This window comes from Homo sapiens, chromosome 6, assembly GCF_000001405.40.
Source record: "Homo sapiens chromosome 6, GRCh38.p14 Primary Assembly".
Classification (NCBI taxonomy): Eukaryota; Metazoa; Chordata; class Mammalia; order Primates; family Hominidae; genus Homo; species Homo sapiens.
In genome coordinates, this window is record NC_000006.12 from 37,572,841 (window position 1) to 37,592,375 (window position 19,535).

General features: G+C 50.9%; 1 long non-coding RNA gene across 1 annotated transcript, besides 2 other annotated features; it reads left to right on the top strand.

The window, feature by feature from the left end:
• Positions 1–1,864: 1,864 nt before the first annotated feature.
• On the top strand, positions 1,865–7,722 carry LOC124901313 (uncharacterized). Its single transcript, XR_007059568.1, has 2 exons — positions 1,865–4,583; positions 7,490–7,722. It is a non-coding gene; the product is annotated as an uncharacterized LOC124901313 (long non-coding RNA).
• Positions 11,373–12,046: an enhancer, noted in NCBI's record as "H3K4me1 hESC enhancer chr6:37551989-37552662 (GRCh37/hg19 assembly coordinates)". NCBI's record gives its function as "activates a minimal SCP1, AML or CMV promoter by ChIP-STARR-seq in naive H9 embryonic stem cells {active_cell/tissue: H9 hESC(naive)}" and the evidence as "EXISTENCE:reporter gene assay evidence [ECO:0000049][PMID:30033119]".
• Positions 12,047–12,719: an enhancer, noted in NCBI's record as "H3K4me1 hESC enhancer chr6:37552663-37553335 (GRCh37/hg19 assembly coordinates)". NCBI's record gives its function as "activates a minimal SCP1, AML or CMV promoter by ChIP-STARR-seq in naive H9 embryonic stem cells {active_cell/tissue: H9 hESC(naive)}" and the evidence as "EXISTENCE:reporter gene assay evidence [ECO:0000049][PMID:30033119]".

The window sequence follows — 19,535 nt, forward strand, 5'->3', positions numbered from 1 at the left end:
GCCCAGGCTGGTCTTGAACTCCTGGGCTAAAGCAATCTGCCTGCCTCGGCCTCCGAAAGTGCTAGGATTACAGGCATGAGCCACCACGCCCGGCCTGCCAGGTACTTCTTATATGATGCCCAGAACAAAACACAACGTGTGAGCTGGGTTCTTACCACATAGGGACTATCACCTACTTTGGTCCAGCAGTTTTATTTCTTTTAATATAATCTAACATTGAGCAAGCTTTTATGCCTATCATATCAAATGGTTAGCAACATCGAATTTATGATCAGTTCAAATCAGGTCTTTTTCACACAAAATTGTGTTGCACCTTATATCCTCACCCCTTTCTGTTTCTGTTTTTCCATTTTTTGTTTGTTTTTGTGTCAGGGTCTTGCTCTGTCACCCAGGCTGGGGTGCAGCAGCATAATCATAGCTTACTGCATCCTCAAACCCCTGGGCTCCAGCGATCTACCCGCCTCAGCCCCCAAGTAGCTGGGTGTGCAGGTGCCTGCCACCATGCCTGGCTCTGTTTCCGAATGTATGCAGATATTGAACACAAGATTATTTTTTTCCCAATCTTTTTCATCTTTTTATGCTACAGCCTGTCAAGTCTTTTCAAAACCAGAACCTGCCAGCTCTCAGTCACTAGTTGGACAACCACCCTTAAATAAGACATTGTGTATCTAAGGGATGTGATGAACCACGGTGCAATTTTGAAAAAAAAATGTGTCCCACAGTCTCTTTTAAATTTATTCAGTGGGGATTATCTTTCCTTGACCTAACTGAAAACATCAGCAGGCCGAAGACTTTTCTACTCTCTCCCGCATAAGTGATGATTCTGCAGTCACTTAAAAAAACAAACAAACAAACAAAAAACAAAAAAAACCCCAGCTTTATTGAGATATAATTCACACACCATAAAATCTGCCATTTTAAAATGCGCAATTCAGTGTTGTTTTAGTGTATTCGAAGAGTCATGCGACCATTACTACAATCAGTTTTAGAACATTTTCATCACCCCAAAAAGAAACTCTATACACATTAGCAGTCCCTCCCCATCCCCCCATCCCCCACCACTCCCTGGCCCTAGGCAATTCATTCAGCTACTTTCTGTCTTTAGAGATTTGCCTTCTCTGGACTTTTCATAAAAACAGAATTGGTGGCTCACGCCTGTAATCCCAGCACTTTGGGAGGCCGAGGCGGGCGGGCAGATCACCTGAGTTCAGGAGTTCGAGACCAGCATGACCAACATGGAGAAACTCCGTCTCTACTAAAAATACAAAATTTGCTAGGTATGGTGGCGCCTGCCTGTAATCCCAGCTACTCAGGAGGCTGAGGCAGGAGAATCGCTTGAACCCAGGAGGCGGAGGTTGCGGTGAGCCGAGATCACGCCATTGCATTCCAGCCTGGACAACAAGAGCGAAACTTTGTCTCAAAAAAAAAAAAAAAAAAAAAAAAGGAAAGAGAAAAAAGAAACAGAATCAAACAATGTGTTGACGTTTGTGACTGGCTTCTTTTTTTTTTTGAGAGGGAGTCTCACTCTGTCACCCAGGCTGGAGTGCAATGCCTCAATCTCGGCTCACTGCAACCTCTGCCTCCTGGGTTCAAGCGATTCTCCTGCCTCAGCCTCCCCAGTAGCTGGGATTACAGGTGTGCACCACCACGCTCAGCTAATTAAAAAAAAAATTTATTTTGTAGAGATGGGGCTTCACCATATTGGCCAGGCTGGTCTTGACTCCTGACCTTAGGTGATCCGCCCACCTTGGCCCCCCAAAGTGCTGGGATTATAGGCCTGAGCCACGGTGCCTGGCCTGTTACTGGCTTCTTTCACTTAATGTTTAATTCTCGATGCATGGTGTTTTCAAGGTTCATCCATGTTGTAGCATGTATCAGTAATCATTCCTTTTTGTGGCTGAATGATCCATCGTACGAATAGATCGTATTTTGTTATAGTGATGGACTTTTGGGTTGTTTCCACTTTTAGAATACTGTGACTTCATGCTGCTGTGAACACTCATGTACAAGTTTTTGTGTGGACACATGTTTTCATTTCTCTTGGGTATTTACCCAGAAGTAGAGTTCCTGGGTAACTAACTTTCTGAGGAACTGCCAGATAGTTTTCTTCTGCCGCATATGAGGGTTCCAATTCTTCCGCTTCCTCATCAACGCTTGTTACGATGTGTCTTTTTTATTACAGGCATGTTGGTGGGTGTGAGATGGGATCCACGGCATAGCAAGGGCTCTCTCTAGAGTAATCTTTTCACCAGTCCTCTTTTCCACTATCCACCCTCTTTATATTTCTTTGGCTTGGCTGAGGGTGCTCTGAGTTATGCACCTCGTTCTTGAACATTTCCCTGGTAAATTCTGTGTATAAGATCTGACTTTGAAATTTCACCTCTATTGTATGTCGATGACTTTGAAACCTCCATTTTAATATCTTGGTAGGTGCACAGTGCCAACATATGACAGGCACTTTATAATAATCTCTTTTCTTCCCTCAGTTTTCCACCAGCCACTGAAAAGCACCGTTAGCCAGACAGAGGACAGCTCCCCAGGGCCCACACTCTCACCTGCCTTGCTTCCGTTCAGGAGAAGGGACATCTGGAAAGGCTGTGTCAAGGCCTTGCCACAGGCAGGATGGGTGTCTCTGGCCTATCTAATAACAGATGTGCTTGTGGTGACAGAATAAAATAGAATAGCAGTCAGGACTTTGTTCAGGCTCTGCCACTAACTCACCATGGGACCTGAAAAAGCGACTTTCCCCCTCTGTGCTTCTGTTGTCATATTTACAAAACATTCTGGGAGGGTTGGATCTGATGAGTAATACAATTTTAGCTCTAGAATAGGATCTATTGTACTTAGAGTTCAAAAGAAATGAAGATAAACTTGCCCCTTGCTTCTGGGGAGTGGCTGGGCTTATAAGAAAGGCTGGACACAAATTTGGTGCAGGAGTGAGGTTTTGGGGACAGGGCTGCAGATACAAGGACAGAGAAGGGGTAGGGATGGAATGACCAGAGCACAGCTTCCAGGGCTCCTGGGGCTTAGCCCTGTCCCTGTGGGGGCCATTGTGTCACTCAGGGCCTCAGAGGGTGAGAATGGGAAGGAATATTCCACACATGGGTGGGATGTAGGAGAAGGAAGGTGGCCTAGACTTGGGCCTGTTGGGGATAGTGACCACACTCCTTCTTCTTTGTCTGTTTTCTGGGTCTCAGCTCTGCAAAGGAGGAGCATGTGTGGGGATCAGAAAAGCGGGGAGCAGGGCTGGGCCAGGCTGGGGCTGGGCCAGGCTGAGGCTGGAGAAGGGGCTGAACAAGGGCTGTGTTCCTTCCCTGACAACTTCCAGCCCCACCTGGGCTCCACCAGGCACATGAAGGCTGCCCGCCCCACTGAGGAGCCGCTTTCCCAACCTGGAAGTGATTTTCAATGTTTCCTCACTGGGCAGTGCCATTCAGCTACTGGTAGGTAAGGTGCAGGAACCATGGGGCGTTCGTGTGTGGGTGCCTGTATGTGTGTGCATGTGTATTCGTGTGTGTGCGTGTGTGTACATTCATGTGTGTGCCTGTGCGTGTGTGTACATGTGCGCATGTGTGTTCGTGTGTGTGCACATTTATGGACATGTATGTGTGTGTGCATGTGTGTGCATGTTCAAGTGTGTGTGTGTGTGTGTGTGTGTGTGTGTTTTGCTTCCACCCTTCCTCCCAGTCTTATTCATCCTAAGCCTCATCCTATTGCCCTCTGGGAGATGTCCTGATGGCCTCAGAATGCCCCTCCTTTATGTCCTCAGCACTCCCTGAAGCTTAAATGACACATTTCTGACTCATCACACTCAAAGCTATGCGGTGTCTGCTCAGCTGCTCAGGAGGGATCTTGAGGCCCAAACTGTATCCAGATAGGTGAGAGGGGTCACAAACGGCCCGCAGGCTGGAGACTGAGATGAAACTAACGTTTCTCGTATCACTGCTGTGTGCTGGCTGTTGCGCAGGTTGCTTCTCATCTTTCGTCTCATTTAATCCCTGCGGCAATTTCATAGAAAGATATAATTCATACCATTTCTCCAGGAGGAGAAATTGGGCTCAGAGAGAGCTGAGGATTTTTCCCGAGGTCTTGCAGCAGGGCAGGGGCTGAGCTCAGATGTGTCTCTAAAGCTTGGGTGTTTCTCCTATGCCTCACTGGTCCAAAAGTCTATCCCAGATGAGCACAGAAGCCCATATCTCCAGTTGGGTTCTTCCAGAAGCTGACCCTGCCATATATATCATTTATATTCACATATGATATATTACTGGAATGCCCCCTTGAGAATCTGGCAAGACAGCGGGTAAAGCAGGATAAGAAAGAGGAAGAAGCCAAGCAAGGGGAGATTGCAGGTGAGGTCCCAACCTCAGCCTGACTCCACAGGGATGGCTGGAAGGTAAATCACACCTCGGGATTGGTCCTGCTTCAAGCTACCGTTGCTGATCTTTTTACTCTCCTACTGGTTCCTGCCTACAGGTTGCCTGGAAGTGATTGGAGGGGAAGGAATGCCAATTCTCAGACATTTCCAGCTCTCCTTACAGGCGAGGCAGCTGGCTCCAATAGCCCAAGGGAAACTGCTGGAAAAGGTAACAATGCCACATGTCAGCTACAAAGCCCCCTGAAGCTGGGGGTGAGCACACAAACCACTTAAAGGGATTGGAGGCCGGGCACAGTGGCTCACGCCTGTAATCCCAGCACTTTGGGAGGCCAAGGCAGGTGGATTGTCTGAGCTCAGGCATTCGAGACCAGCCTGGGCAACACGGTGAAACCCCGTTTCTACTAAAATACAAAAAATTAGCTGGGCGTGACTGCTTGTGCTTGTAATCCCAGCTACTCGGAAGGCTGAGACAGGAGAATTGCTTGAACCCGGGAGGCGGAGGTTGCAGTGAGCCAAGATTGCGCCATTGCACTCCAGCCTGGGCAACAAGAGTGAGACTCCGTCTAAAAAAAAAAAAAGTGATTGGAGGAGATCTCAGTGGGGCCCGAACGCCATCTGCCGCACTCAGCTTTATCAAACCTGGAGGGGCTTAAGGAGCACTGGACTGCGTGTCTGGAGGTGTTTGGTCTGCTCCTGGATCCTGCTGCTAACTTTTTCTGTTAGCTCAAGGACACTGCCTCCACTGTGTGAAACGAGGGGCTGGACTACATTCATTCATTCATTCCATGAATATGCCCTGCGCACTTACTGTGCATCAGGAAACAAGAGACAAATATCTCTGCCTCATGGAGCTCACATTTTAGCAGAGAAAAGCTGATAGGACAAAGGAAATAATCAAATTCTATAGTATATTAAAGGGCATGCGTGCTATTGACAATACAGCAGGGATGGAGGGTGGGAAGTGCTGGTGGGGGGAGCGTGACAGCTTTAAATAGTGCCATAGGGGTGACAGTGGAGCACAGACCTGAAGGAGGTGAGGGAGTCAGCTCTGCAGACGCCTGGGGGAAGAGCGCTCCAGGCAGAGGCAGCAGCCGGAGCAAAGGCCCTGGGGTAGGAGAGTGCCCGGGATTCGAGGAGCCATCAGGGAGGCAGGGGCAGCGGGAGTGGAGTGAACCGGGGGAGAGTGGCAGGACGGAAAGTCAGGGAGATCACGAGGGGCCAGATTGTAGGCAGCTGGTAGTCCATGGTGAGGGCTTGCACCTTTACTCCGAGTGAAATGAGCAGCCCTGCCGAGCAGAGGAGGGACATGACATGACCTCGCTTATGTTTTTAAAAAATCTCTGGCCGGGCGTGGTGCTTCATGCCTGGAATCCCAGCACTTTGGGAGGCCGAGGCGGGCAGATCATGAGATCAGGAGATAGAGACCATCCTGGCTAACACAGTGAAACCCCGTCTCTACTAAAAAAAATACAAAAAGTTAGCCGGGCATGGTCGCGGGCACCTGTAGTCCCAGCTACTCGGGAGGCTGAGGCAGGAGAATGGCATGAACCCGGGAGGTGGAGCTTGCAGTGAGCTGAGATCTCACCACTGCACTCCAGCCTAGGCAACAGAGCGAGACACCGTCTCAAAAAAAAAAAAAAAAAAAATCTCTGTAGCTGCTGTGTTGAGAAGAGACCATAGGAGCGTCAGGGGAACACTCTCTCCTGCGAGAATTGAGAATGGGCGGGGGCCAGGCCTTCTAGTAGCAGGCCTGAGGAGGCCTCCCCTCCTGGGCTCCAGATTACTCCACTGTCCCTGTCACCACAGGAGAAGCACCTCCGGCCGCATCCTACCTCCCTGGGGTGAGGTAAGAGTGACCCTGCCTCATCCTAATACTCAGTCCTCACCAGCACACCCAAAATAGACTGTGCATGTTTACCCTCAGCCCGAACTCAAGACAGACACAGTGGTAGCACAGTGCAAACACAGGCAGGAAGACAAGACCCTGGCTCCAGCCTGCCCCTCTCCAGACCCCCCATCCCTGACCTCTGCCACCTTCCCTAGGCCCCGTGGATCTCCCCTGTCTTCCCCACCTTCCTACCCCATCCTCCTCAGTTGTCCTAGCACTGATTATTGTACTTTCCATCAAGAGCTGGAAGGGTCTTGGAGAGGGTCTGCTCCACCCTTCCTACTCTGCATCTGGGGAAAGTGAGGCCCAGGGAAAGGAAGCAGCTTGCACAAAGCCATGGGGGTTAATTAGTCAAAACAAACCTCACCTAGGGAGGCCCACAATTTCCCATCCAGTGCTTTCTTACTGCATTTCAGCCTCCATCATATACCTCCTTTATCCTTTAAACACGCTGTTTGTAGGAGCACTGGGCTAGGAGTCCAAGCTAGGGTGCAGTACTGCCTCTGTCATAACTGCATGTGACGTCATCCTTAGGGCCTCAGTTTTCTCAGCTCTAAAATGGGCATTAAAGATTTCCTTCCAGTTGGAAAAAAAAAAAAGTTAATATGTGAGAAAATGTAGTTGGGAAACCAGTCCTGGGCCCAAATCTCAGCTGACTGCCAGTGAATAACATGAAAACGAAAACATCCTTAAACAACACACATGTTAAATTAATTAAAAGAGATGAAAATAGTACGAGGCAATGTTGGCCCAGCTGGGAGGAAACGGGAACATTGGCTCCTAAATTCTCCACAGCTCTATTGTTTGGGCTATAGCAAAATGTAACAGCAGCAGCTACTGCCGGAGAGAACAACTCATGCCCTTCGGCTTGGCAGGTTATCACACATTTGGAAATAAATCTCAAAGAAATAACACAAATGGAGAAAAGCAATTTGCACTAATATGATTATCTGGAATGTGAAAAAAACTAGAAAGGTCCAAACTGGTCATTAAGCCATGGAATTTATACGTGAAGGAATAACAGCTCACACTGTGGCAGCAGCTGCCGGTTGCCTCCCTGGATCCATCTCTCTTCCACCCTTAGAAAAAACTTTAGCAGGGTACATGGCTGCCCAGAAGAGATATTCCATTTCCCAATATCCCTTGCAACTAGGTGTGGCCTTGTGACCAAGTTCTGGCCAAAGGGATATAAACAGAACAGTCATCTGTGACACATGTCATTACAGAGAGGAGCATGCCCCTCCTGGAGCTTTCTTCCTTCCCGCTGGCCGGAATGCAGTTGTGATCATTTGAGTTTCAGCAGCCACCTTGGGCCATTTGGAGGAAGGCATCTGCTGTGCATGGCAGAGTCACGTGAAAGAAGGAAGCTGATTCATTATCACCAGGTCACCGTGTCAGCCCTGGACTGCCTACTTCTGAACTTTTTACTTGAGGGATTAAAGTAACCCTGGGTGTTTAATCATTGTTAATTTGGATTTTCTGCCATTAATAACCAAATCAAGTTCTAACTGATAGAAACACGCAGGGAAAAAACGTTGAATGGAAAAGTAGGCACAAAAGTGGATGTTCTTCATGGATCCCAGCTATTTAAGTTATAGATTGGTACAGAGATGGTGATTGAATGGTGAGTCATCAATAATAGTGTGATGGTGTTGATTGGATTTTTCCCTCTGTAAACAAGTTTAGTTGCTGAATCGGTCAGGAGAGGCTAGGTTATGCTGAGGTGACAAGCAACTCCTAAATTTCAGGGCCGTAAGACAACTCAATTTAATTCTTACTCTCCATGTTCGTCGTGGGTCAGCAGGAGGCTGTGCTCATGGCAGTCACTCAGAGCACTGGCTGACAGAGACGCTGTGACAGAGGGCAAGAGAGAACGCTGGAAGGTCTCGCTCTCACCAGGAATTAAATGCCACGGCCTGAAAGTGACACTTTCATGGTGCTCACAACTCATTGGCCAGGACCAGTCCTAGAACCTGGCCCACCCACATGGAGGCAACGAGTGCAACTCTGCCACCTGCCCAGAAGGCGGCGAGCTGGAGAGACTTGGCAGATTGCACCAGTGATGATCACAGATACATCATGAAGAAAACGTAAGAGCACAAACATTTGTGAAATAATTTTTAGAAGTCCTTCCAGAAAAAGTAAAGTTTTATGTTTCTATAAGCCTTTATTTTATTTTATTTTATTTTATTTTATTTTATTTTATTTTATTTTATTTTATTTTATTTTATTTTATTGATGGAGTTTCTCCATCTGTCGCCCAGGCTGGAGTGCAGTGGCGTGATCTCAGCTCACTGCAACCTCTGCCTCCCAGGTTTAAGTGATTCTCTCACCTCAGCCTCTAGAGTAGCTGGGATTACAGGCGTGTCCCACCATGCCCGGCTAATTTTTGTATTTTTAGTAAACATGGGGGTTTCACCATATTGGCCAGGCTAGTCTCAAACTCCTGGCCTCCATTGATAGAACCATCTCGGCCTCCCAAAGTGCTGTGATTATAGGCATGAGCCACCATGCCCGGCTGAGCCTTTGTATTCCTGATGCAAGTCTGAATTCCTTGAGCACAAGAAATGCCCTGCCTTCTTCGGTAGTTGCCACAGGCCTATCCCAGGGCTGGGCCCATGGGAAGCGTTAGAGAAGGAACTGCAATCAGAATGATGGTAGGTGACATGCTCGCCATGTGCTGGGCACTGCACATTCCATCCGGAGCCCTTATGGACGTGCCAGACATGCTTCTCTGCACCTTAGATGGATTAACTCATCGAATCCTTACAAAAAACCTTTGAGGGTAGTACTGTTATTATCCCCATTTTACACAGAAAGAAACTGAGGCACAGATGGGTTAAGTGACTTGCCAAGGATCACCACTAGGAAGAGGCAGAGCCAGGAATGAATGCAGGTGGCTCCAGAGCCCGTGCAATCCTGTGACTTTGCCCAAGCTCTAGAAGGCAGGAACAGCAGTGAGAAAAGACAGAGTTCTGTCCTCACGGGGCTGCAGCAGTCTACCCTGTGTGGAGCCCCTGTGATAGGTGGAATACGGCCACCATCAAGAAGTCCACGTCCTAATCCCTGCAGCCTGTGTATGCTATCTTATTCCTTATTCCTTATAGAAAAGGAACTTTGTAGGTATGATTAAATTAAGGATCTTGAGAAGGAGAGATTATCCTGGGTTACTGGGGTGGGCCCAGTGTCATCACAAGGGTCCCCATAAATGGAAGAGGCAGGAGAGTCAGAGATATGGTGGTAGACACAGAGACTGGAGTGATGTCGCCGCCAAATCAAAAAATGCTGGCAGCGTCTAGAAACTGGAAGAGGCCAACAATGAAGCCCCTCCCCCGCCCTGGGCCGGAGCCTCTGAAAGGAATGCAGTCCTGCCAACACCTTGATTTTAGCCCCAGAAGATTTATTTATTTATTTATTTATGAGCTAGGATATCACTCTGTTTCCCAGGCCAGAGTGCTGTGGCATGATCTCAGCTTACAGCAACCTCTGCCTCCTAAGTAGCTGGGACCACAGGCATGCACTACCACACCCGGCTAATTTTTTGTATTTTATGTAGAGATGGGTTTTCACCATGTTGCCCAGGCTGGTCTCAAACTCCTGGGTTCAAGCAATCCATCCACCTCAGCTTCCCAAAGTGCTGGAATTACAGGGGTGAGCCACTCCTCTCAGCCCTTATAAGATTCATTTTGGACTCTTGACTCCTAGAACTATAAGAAAATAAATGTGTGTTGCTTTAAGCCACAAGGGTTGTAGTAATTTGTGAAAGCTGCAACAAGGAAACTAATACACGCCACCCCTCCATTTTGCTCTTCAGAGACCCACTGGGTAGACAGAAACTCTTGTACACCCTTCGCCCCAGCCCCTTGCGTCTCCTTGAGATGGAGGCTGAGAAAGAGCTGGGAAGGAGCTGGGAAGGGTCGTTCTATCCTGGTTACCTTGGGAAATGGTGAGCATTGCTTACCCTGTTCCTGGGGTCCCGGGCAAATCCTGGCTCTGCCTGTAGAACAGGACTCCCCTCCCACAGCCTTCTCCACCACCCTTTCCCAGAGCTGGGATAGCCTTTCTCCTGGGCATGAATGAGGGGTCTTTAAGGCCTTAATGCCTCTCACTCCTGCACCCAGACTGGGCCCCACCACTCTCCTGCACTAGTACATTACCCACACCCATGAGCCAGGCCGGCTTCATCTCTGCTGAACCATCAGGGGAGGTGGAGGGCATGCCAGCCAAGGGAACAGAGTCTCGGAGAGACCAGCCCAGAGAGAAGCGGGCAGAGACAGGCAGAAGGGGAATTGGCATGAGCAGAACACAGAGACTCAGAGGTGGGGAAGGGGAAGCAGAAAGAGGAAACAGAGCCAGAGACATACGGTGAGCATGCCGGTGGCTTTCTCCCTGAACTGCTCCAGTGGTGTGTAGCCGCTCGGGTGCAGTCGATAGCTGGGTTTACCAGGGTAGCTAATTCCTGGTCCTGTCAGCTGTGGCAATGACCAAGGGCTTCACTTCATAACACAAAACCCACACTCCTTTCCATGACTGCAAGGCCCGACTGACTTTGGCCCCTGGATCCACTTGGACTTTGTTTCCCACGATGCTTCAGGCACTGTGGCCTCCCCGAATACCCCAGGGACATCCTCTCCTTGCACACAAGTCTCTGCACAGGTCACCTTTTTACAAGACCCTTCCTTGACCACCCTTTCTAGAACAGCAGCCGGCTACATCCCTCTAACTCAGTTTTTCTCCATAGCATTTATCACAACCTGACACTAGACCAATGGGTATTGGTTGAATGTCTGTCTCTCCAACATCAACACTGTACCCCAGTGTGTCCATACTCTGCTGCCCACACAGTAGCTATGAGGCCCTGGTGGCTACTTAACATTTGCATTTGTATTAATTAAAATGTAATACAGGTGGGCCGGGCACGGTGGCTCACGCCTGTAATCCCAGCACTTTGGGGGGCCGAGGCCATTGGATCACCTGAGGTCAGGAGTTTGAGACCAGACTGGCCAACGTGGTAAAACCCTGTCTCTACTAAAAATAGAAAAATTAGCTAACATGGTGGTGCACGCCTGTAATTCCAGCTACTGGGGAGGCTGAGGCAGGAGAATCACTTGAAACCTGGAAGTGGAGGTTGCAGTGAGCTGAGATTATGCCATTGCACTCTAGCCTGGGTGACAAGAGTGAAACTCCGTCCCAAAAAAAAAAAAAAAAAGTAATACAGCTGGAAGCTCAGCTCCTCAGCATCCTCACCATATTTCTGGTGCTCAGAACCCACATGCGGGTTAACAGTACCCGACTGAAGAGCCCAGAATGCATTTCCATCATCCTAACTTTGTGCCAAGAATCAAACTCATAATCAACTCATATAAAGCAGGTGGACACACAGCAGAAGGAATCCCAGCAGCTCCACACTGAACAGGTGTAATTATGCTGCCCCAGCACCCCTCCTGGCCTCCAGGTGCCCCTTGAACTCCCCTCCTGCCTCTCTCCCTGGCCTCTCCCCTGGGGCTCACTGCTGCGTCTTCCTCCCTTGGTGGGGTCGGCGCCTCCTCCTGCCGACCCTGTGCTCACCCTCTCCAACTGCATTAGCTGGGTTGTCGTTGCTAATCTGTGTGCCTCCCCACGAGCTGGGGGCGGCCAGGGAGCTTGGATGGACCTTTCACCTCTGCCACCATGACAGCACAAAGAGCCTTGGAAAATGCTGGCTCCCAGTGGGCTTTCCCCCTTCTCCCTTCTCTGTGCTCCTGGTGTCCAGTTTCACACTCTCCATCGCCACACCCAGGGCAGAGGGCCCCAGCCTCCCCGAGCTGCTGGAGCCACGTACCCAGCAGCCGGGGTGGGGATGGGACAGGATGGGCCCTGTGGTTGCTGAGGGAGCAGGCCAGAGAAAGGCGCCCTTTCTGACACTCGGCGTTGCCTCTCTTGGTTTCATCTTCTCATACAGCCATAGCAACATGGCAGGTCAACAGGGTACCTTTAAAATTATGGGAAAGGCTCATGCTTTTTTGGTGAATGAGTTCAGGGAAGCCTATGCTGTCCCGTGGCACATTCCCCTGCCTCCCCTGCCCGCCTCCTGCCATGTAGGGCAGGCCCCTTGGAGACCCCCTGCCACCTTCCCTCCCCACCTTCCTCTCTGGGATCCTGGCCCAGGCCAGGCAGCAGGGCTCCAGGTGGGCAGGGGGGCAGGGAGAGAGCAGGGCCCAGGGCCATGTGAATGTAGGAGAGGAGGCCCCAGGTGTGTGTGTGTGTCCCCAGCCCTGCCCCCAGCCCTGCCTCCTCTGCCAGGATTCTGAGCCGTCTCGCTGTTGTCATCTTGTCTGATCTCTCAGACCGTGCAGAAAGCCACACTGTCACTGTTCCCCTTGCCTTCAGCCTCCCCAGACCCCCTGGGATGTGGGCTCCTCCCACCGCCTCTCAAGACCCCCATTCACCCACATGATGCCAGGGGGAGAGCAAGCTCTTCAGACAAGGAAAGGGCTGGAAGAGGTGCTTAAAGTGGTGAGGGGATCAAGGTGTCATAGTGGCTCAGAGGAAGGGAGAGAAGCTCGGATGCACACTCATGTACATCCAGGACCTAGAAGCTATCCCTCCCTGCTGCTCTGCACACAAGCTGTAGGAATCAGGAATTGCATTTTTCCAGGGAGGATGTCATCCACAAGCCTGGACACTGAGAGTTGGGGTATGTGAAGCCCAGCGCTGAGCTTGTTAAATACTCCTGATTCAAGATCCCCACTGCCCTGGAGCCTGGGGTCTCAGAGGATACAATCCCCTTTGGGTCCAGGCCTGGGAAACCCACTGTACCTCCCATCCCCAGGCTCCCAGAGTCCCATCCTCGCACTGGCAAACAGGAGGGGAATCACCCACGCTGCACTCCTACTCTCTGGAGGGGGAGTGTCCTTACTTTGGCCTGAGTCTCCTCTTTGGCATAAGAGTGCTTCTCATCGGGAGGACCTGTGGAGTCTCCCTGCGACATGTGGTCATTCACCCACCCACTGCAGTCCAGGACAGTGGTATGGACTTACCCAGGCTTCCTAAGAGCCAGTTCAATTCGTTGTGGTGCCTCAGTGCTCACTATGCCAGAGCTGGACAGCACCGTCGAGAAGCCCCGCATTCCACAGAGGAGACAACTTGGCCCAGAGGGGAGAGGGATTTATCCAAGATCATGCAGTAAGTTAGGGCCAAAGTCCAGATGCAACCTCAGGTCCCCTGATGACCAGACTGATGCTGGGGGGCTGCGTGAACATGCATCAGAGCCTGAGCATGTGCACCTGCTCTGGCATGGTGATCACGTTCCCCTCTGTCCACTGGGTAGGAAACTTGCTCTTGCTCCTCCCCTTCAGGAGCTGCTGGTCGGACTGAAGGGGTGGCCATCGCAGTGGGGTCGGGGGCCATTTCCTCAGAAGCTCCCAAGGACCCAAAGGCGCCTTGGGGGAAGTGGGTATCTGCCCATCTGCTGGCTGCCCTGTATCCAAGCTCCCTCCCTCTTAGCAGAATTTCCCACAGTGTGAATCTGGATGGCAGAGACCCAACTCATTCTGAAAGCCAAAGGGGTGCAGAGGCAGAGGTTACAGTGAGCCGAGACTGTGGCAGCGTCTCCCTTCCCTGACCTGGCAACTCGTCTGTGGGCACACAAACTACTGTGGCCAGTAGGGCGTTTTTGTCCAGGATTTTATTTTTTAAATTAACATAGAGCAAAATTGATGTAATTATTTTGGTGTATAGTTTTGTGGTTTTCTATTTTTATATTTAAAAATTGTTTACATAATAGAGACAGAGTCTCACTATGTTGCTCAGGCTGGTTTCAAACTCCTGGGCTCAAGCAATCCTCTTGCCTCAACCTCCCGAAGGGCTGAGATTACTGGTGTGAGCCACTGGGCATGGCTGTTTTATGAATTTCTAGCACAAGCATAGATTCATGTCACCACCACCACAATCAGGACACAGAACAGTTCCCAAAAAACTCCTTCCTACTATCCCTTTGTCTGGGATCTTGACCTGGAGAGAGTGGGATGCAAAAGTGGGACCGTCACAAATTGCTCATGATGTACCAGTGTCCAGATGAGCTGGGTGTCCTCAGGTGGCCGGTGTCCAGAGGCGGCAATGTCCCCTGCCCTAGCTGGGCTGTCTCTGGCCATGACTGCCTGCCTCCCCTTCAACCAGCCTATTTTGCTTCTGGCCAGTTTTCCAAGCCTGCTTCTCAACTTCCCATCAATTCAAGGAGCTGCTTTTTTTTCTTTTCTTTTTTTTTTTCCAAGTCGGAGTCTGCGTCTGTTGCCCAGGCTGGAGTGTAGTGGCGCAATCTTGGCTCACTGCAACCTCCACCTCCCTGGTTCAAGCAGTTCGCCTATCTCAGCCTCCCAAGTAGCTGGGATTACAGGCACACGCCACCACGCCCAGTCAATTTTTGTATTTTTGGTAGAGGTGGGGTTTCACCATGTTGGCCAGGCTGGTCTCAAACTCCTGACCTCAAGTGATCTGCCTGCCTTGGCCTCCCAAAGTGCTAGGATTACAGGCGTGGGCCACCTTGCCCGGTCGCAAGGAGCTACTTGATGTGTCCTCCCGGTAAATTCCTTTCTGACTTGAGTGGGCCAGAGGTGCTTTTTTGTTTTGTTTTGTTGTTTTTATAGTCGAAGCCACAGTCCCTCATGAAATCAGGTGGGACTGGGGGCTAGGAATGGGACTTCCCCAGAGATGGACAGGGCCAGAGATAAACAGGCATCCTTGGGGATTTCCTGGGAAGGAGAGATCCTGCCCCTGGGCCCTTCCCTGGCCAGTCACTCCCGGGATGGTGCTGACCGAAGACAGAGCTTGCCCCAGCCGCAGCCCCGCTTCCCTCTTGCCTGGGTCTTAGTGATCTCACTTATAGGCCTGAGCAGCAGAGACAAAACCAGCTGCCTTCCCCTCTGCGAAGCGGAGCCCCTGCTGGGAAAATCTGGGGGAGGGGGATTATTTTCAACTTGGGGCCCCCTGCAGGCTGGAGCCAGGGAGGTATCGGGGTGGTGGGGGCAGGGGCGGCTGCCCAGCTCCTCCTTCCCTGAGGTTGGTGGGAAGGTTTCCATGGAAACAGCAGCTCCAGCATCTCCAGAGATTTGGGGGAAAACTGGCTTTAAAAAATCACCATCTTCGTTTCTTGGGGGAGCGACAGCATAGCTCTGCGAAGAGGGCAGAGAATAGCATCAGGGAGAGAGGGTCCTGTTCAGAAATGCTGGGCCACCAGGGACCCCATCCCTCCCTAAGCCCCCTGGAGGTCTCTCTTTCTGCATCTCCTTCTGTCCTAGAGAGAGAGGTGCCTTCTTGACTACAATACCTCCCCACATGTATCACCAAGTAACCCCCTCCCCGCCCCACATTATCTACCTACTCATCTTCCCTATCTCCCCATGGTAGGGGCAGAAGCCCTTTCCCTCCTCCCACTCCTCTTCTCAGTCGCCTCCACCCCTGCAGGCCCCAGCTTCACTCCACCCATCCCCCAGCCCTCAGCTCACTGCCCCCCATTACAGCTTTGGGAGAGAAGGAGACACAGGCGTGGGGACTCTTGCTGGGGAGTTAATCAAAGTGTCTGCAACTACTCATGTTCCTGTGCCCTCCCTGGGGAGTTGAGAAGGGGTGGGGGCTGTTCTGCATGTGACCGATGGAGGGGCAGCATCAAACATGCCAGCCTCAAGGCGTGCACAGACACGAAATCAACTGGAACACTTGCTTTTAAAATGATTTTTCCAGCAGTTTTCCTTCCTGGCCAGGGCCTCCCATCTGTGCCAAGAGTCTTCCTAAATTCCTGGTCCTGCAGTGGCCCTTGCTGGCCTGTTCCAGGAAAAAGAACTCACCTCTGTCCTTTCCACATCCAGGCTTTGTCCCACACAAATAGTCATTCATTCATTCATTCATTCATTCACTCATTCAATAACAATGACCTCTGCACTTATTTTGTGCCAGGCACAGTTCTAAGCACTGCAGACACAGGTGGAATGCAGGGGCTGGGTGCTGGAGGGTGAGACGGACGAAAATCCCAGCCCCTTGTGGAGCTTATGCTCTGTAAGAGAAAAAGAGACAGAGAATAAACAAATATGTAAAATACATCATATATGAAATGTGATGAAGTGTTCTGGAGAAAAATAAAACAGGAAGAGAGAGAGATGGTTTGTTTTGGGGTCCCCACCAGAATTTTGAAAGAAATGCTCAGCGTGGGTCTCCCTGAAACCTGGTGCTTGAGAATGACCTGCAGGAAGTGATAGAGCCACTCAGCTCTCCCAGGAAAGAGCACTTCAAGCAGAAGGAACAGCACATTCAAAGGCCCTGGGGCAGGTGTGTATCCAGCAGGTACAGCGAGTAGCAAAGAGATCTGTGTGATTGGAGTGGAATAAGCAATATTGGGACCCATCAGAGATGACGTGAGAGGTAAAAGGCCAGGGGTGAGGGCTGGGGCTGGGACAGATGCTCTGGGCCTTGCAGGTCTTCGTAAGGGCTTTCTGCTAGAGTATCAAAGACCCTCTACCATGCCACCGTATTTTTGGCCTGCTGTGGGCCTCTGAAGCTCAGGTGGGAAGGACCATAAGGACATCTTCAGCCCTCCTACAGTCTGATCACCCCAGCTAAGGAAGCAGGGGCCTGCACCTGTGTACCTATGACCTTAATTCTGCAGATCCCCTCCTCACGTGGAGGTGGGCTCCGCAAGCTCCATGTGGGTGTGTCTGTCCAACACAATTCAGAGAGGCCCAAAGGGTATCCTAAGACCACACAGTCAGGTCTCCCTCCTGGGACTTCTGCCCTTTCCTTCTCTTCCCACCCCCCACAGGCACCTGCGGCGTTGTGATGCTGGGCGATGCAGCAGCGTCTGTATAATTACGGTGATGATTTCACAACATGCGGTTTTCCCTTCTCTTATCGCCTCCCAGTGCGAAATAAACCGTTCAATAATTAATTGACAAAGATGAACTTGTTGTCCTCAGCCAGGCTGGGAGGGTGGGGGTTGGACACCGCCTCCGCAGACAAATGATGTGAGAAGTAATTGCCCTAGGAGAGGAGGCGAGAGGTATTAAGATCAGATTTGCAAGGTCCCTTCCAAGAGCCCGTGGGTACCAGGCGACGGCAACTGCTGGGATTTGCATTGCTAATTCATCACTAATTAATGTTCCAAATTGGGCCTGACAGGAGGAGAAATCAACGTGGAGGCATCTGCAGAGGTAGAGAGACAAAGACTGGGAACGGAGAAGGACAAACAGGGGAAAGGACACATAGTGCAAACCTTAAGAGGCAGAGAGAGATGCTGGGGCAAGAGCACAGGAGCAGGGTCTGAACAGACACCCCAGGTCTATGATCCCAACCGAGTGTGTGGCCGATGGGTCTCTTCCCCTCACTGGGCTTCAGTTTTGTCATCTAGAAAATGGGGATGGGAAAGGATTTCTAGGGTTCTTTCTAGAGGTGATAATGATATCAGTCCTGACTCCAACGTAGATCTGGAATGATTAAGAGAGTGTGTGTGTGTGTCTGTGTGTATTCTTTCTAGAGGTGATAATGATATCAGTCCTGACTTCAACATAGGTTTGGAATGATTAAGAGTGTCTGTGCATGTGTATCTGTGTGTCTATGTGTGTGTCTGTGTGTGTTTGTGTGTCTGTGTGTGTGTTTGTGTGTCGTGTTTGTGTATCGTGTGAGTGAGTGTGTGTCTGTGTGGGCACTCACATATACGCCTGTTGCCACCACCTGGCCTGGGCCACCGCTGGCCTGGGCAATTGCACCTGCTTCTACCCTTGTACCCCTATAGTCTATTCTCATCACAGCCAGAGGGATCTTTTAAAACAAGGCAACTGAGGCCCCACACTGGTGCAAACCTTTGCATCTCACCCAGCATAAAAGCCAAGGCTACTAGGCAGGTCCAGAAGCCCTGCACCATGTGGTCCCTGGTCCCTCCCCAATACTGGCCACACCAGCCTCTGTGCTATTTCCCAATGCCAGCCTTTCCGGAGTCAGGGCCTTTGCACTTGCTGTTCTCTTGGCCTGGAAAGCTCTTCCTGACATGTCTACATGGTTCACTCCTTCTCTTTGTTCAGCTCTCTGCTCCTCTCCCCAGAGAGGCCTCCCAGTACCACCCCATTTAGATCACCAGCTTCTCCTCTGGTCACCACAGCACTGGTGGCCACCTGCCATATCATTCTTTCCCATCTTGCCACCCTGGAAAGTCAGCTCCATGAGCAGGAAGGTTGTCTCTTTGGGGCATGGCTGAATCCCCAGCGCCTGGTTCGGTGCTGGCTTGGTGAATATTACCCAGAGGGTTCTGGGATTCTGCTTCCAGGAAAGATTAAAAGAAGTAAGAAGCGGGGCAGACAAGAAAGTGGGGAATCAGAGCAGGGCAGGCCAGGGTGGGGGCAGGCCATGTGGAAGCAAGGTCTTTCCTCCTTCAAAGGGGTCCGCAAAGGTGGGCCAGGGCTGAGGACAGGACTAGAGGGTGACTGGGGACAGGGTGATACCTACTGAGTCCCGGGGAGAGACCCAGGCCTGTCCCCAAGCCTCCCTACAGCTGTCCTGCTGCTGCTAGTGGCACACAAACGTTCTTTCAAGGCTCCTTCGGAATGCAGAGACACCACAGCGCGGGCGTCCTTGGCACCTCCCCTTAGTTTAGGAGAGGATGAGAAACCTTCCAATTGCTACACAATAGGGGCCAGTTAAGTAAAATGGAGTCTGTCAATAGAGTGGAAAATTAGGCAGGCATTTAGCAGGCTGAGATGAGAATTCTGTCGATACTTGGAGCTGTGTGTGAAATGTTGTTATGAGAGCCAAGGAGGCCTCATCAGAAGCACAAGTGGGTTCTCTCTTCCCACCTGCATCTATGGAGCCCCTGCTGCGTGTTCAACATCCTTCTGGGCCCCAGGGCACTGAGACCTGGCTGCCCAGCTCCTCCTGCCTGGTGGGGCACACACAGCTGGGCCGGGGATAGATGTGCACACCTGCACCAAACTGCAATAGGGTGTCTATCTATAGGAGACAGGAGGTCCTATGTCAGATCCTGGCCCTGCCTCTTTATGGCTAGGAGCCTGGGCAAGCCCCTGAGGCCATGGGAGGGAGGATTTCTTTCTCCCTCGGTTGCTGTGGGAATCACCAAGCACTGAGGTCAGAGCCTGGAGGGATTCTGTAGGTCTTCCTTCCATCATCATCATCATTGTCATCGTCGTCATCATCATCATCATCATCGTCGTCGTCGTCATCATCATCATCCAAGGACATAGAGGCTAGTGGTTAAGAACACGAGCTCTGGAGTCAGACTGCCTGCGTCCTCGTCTT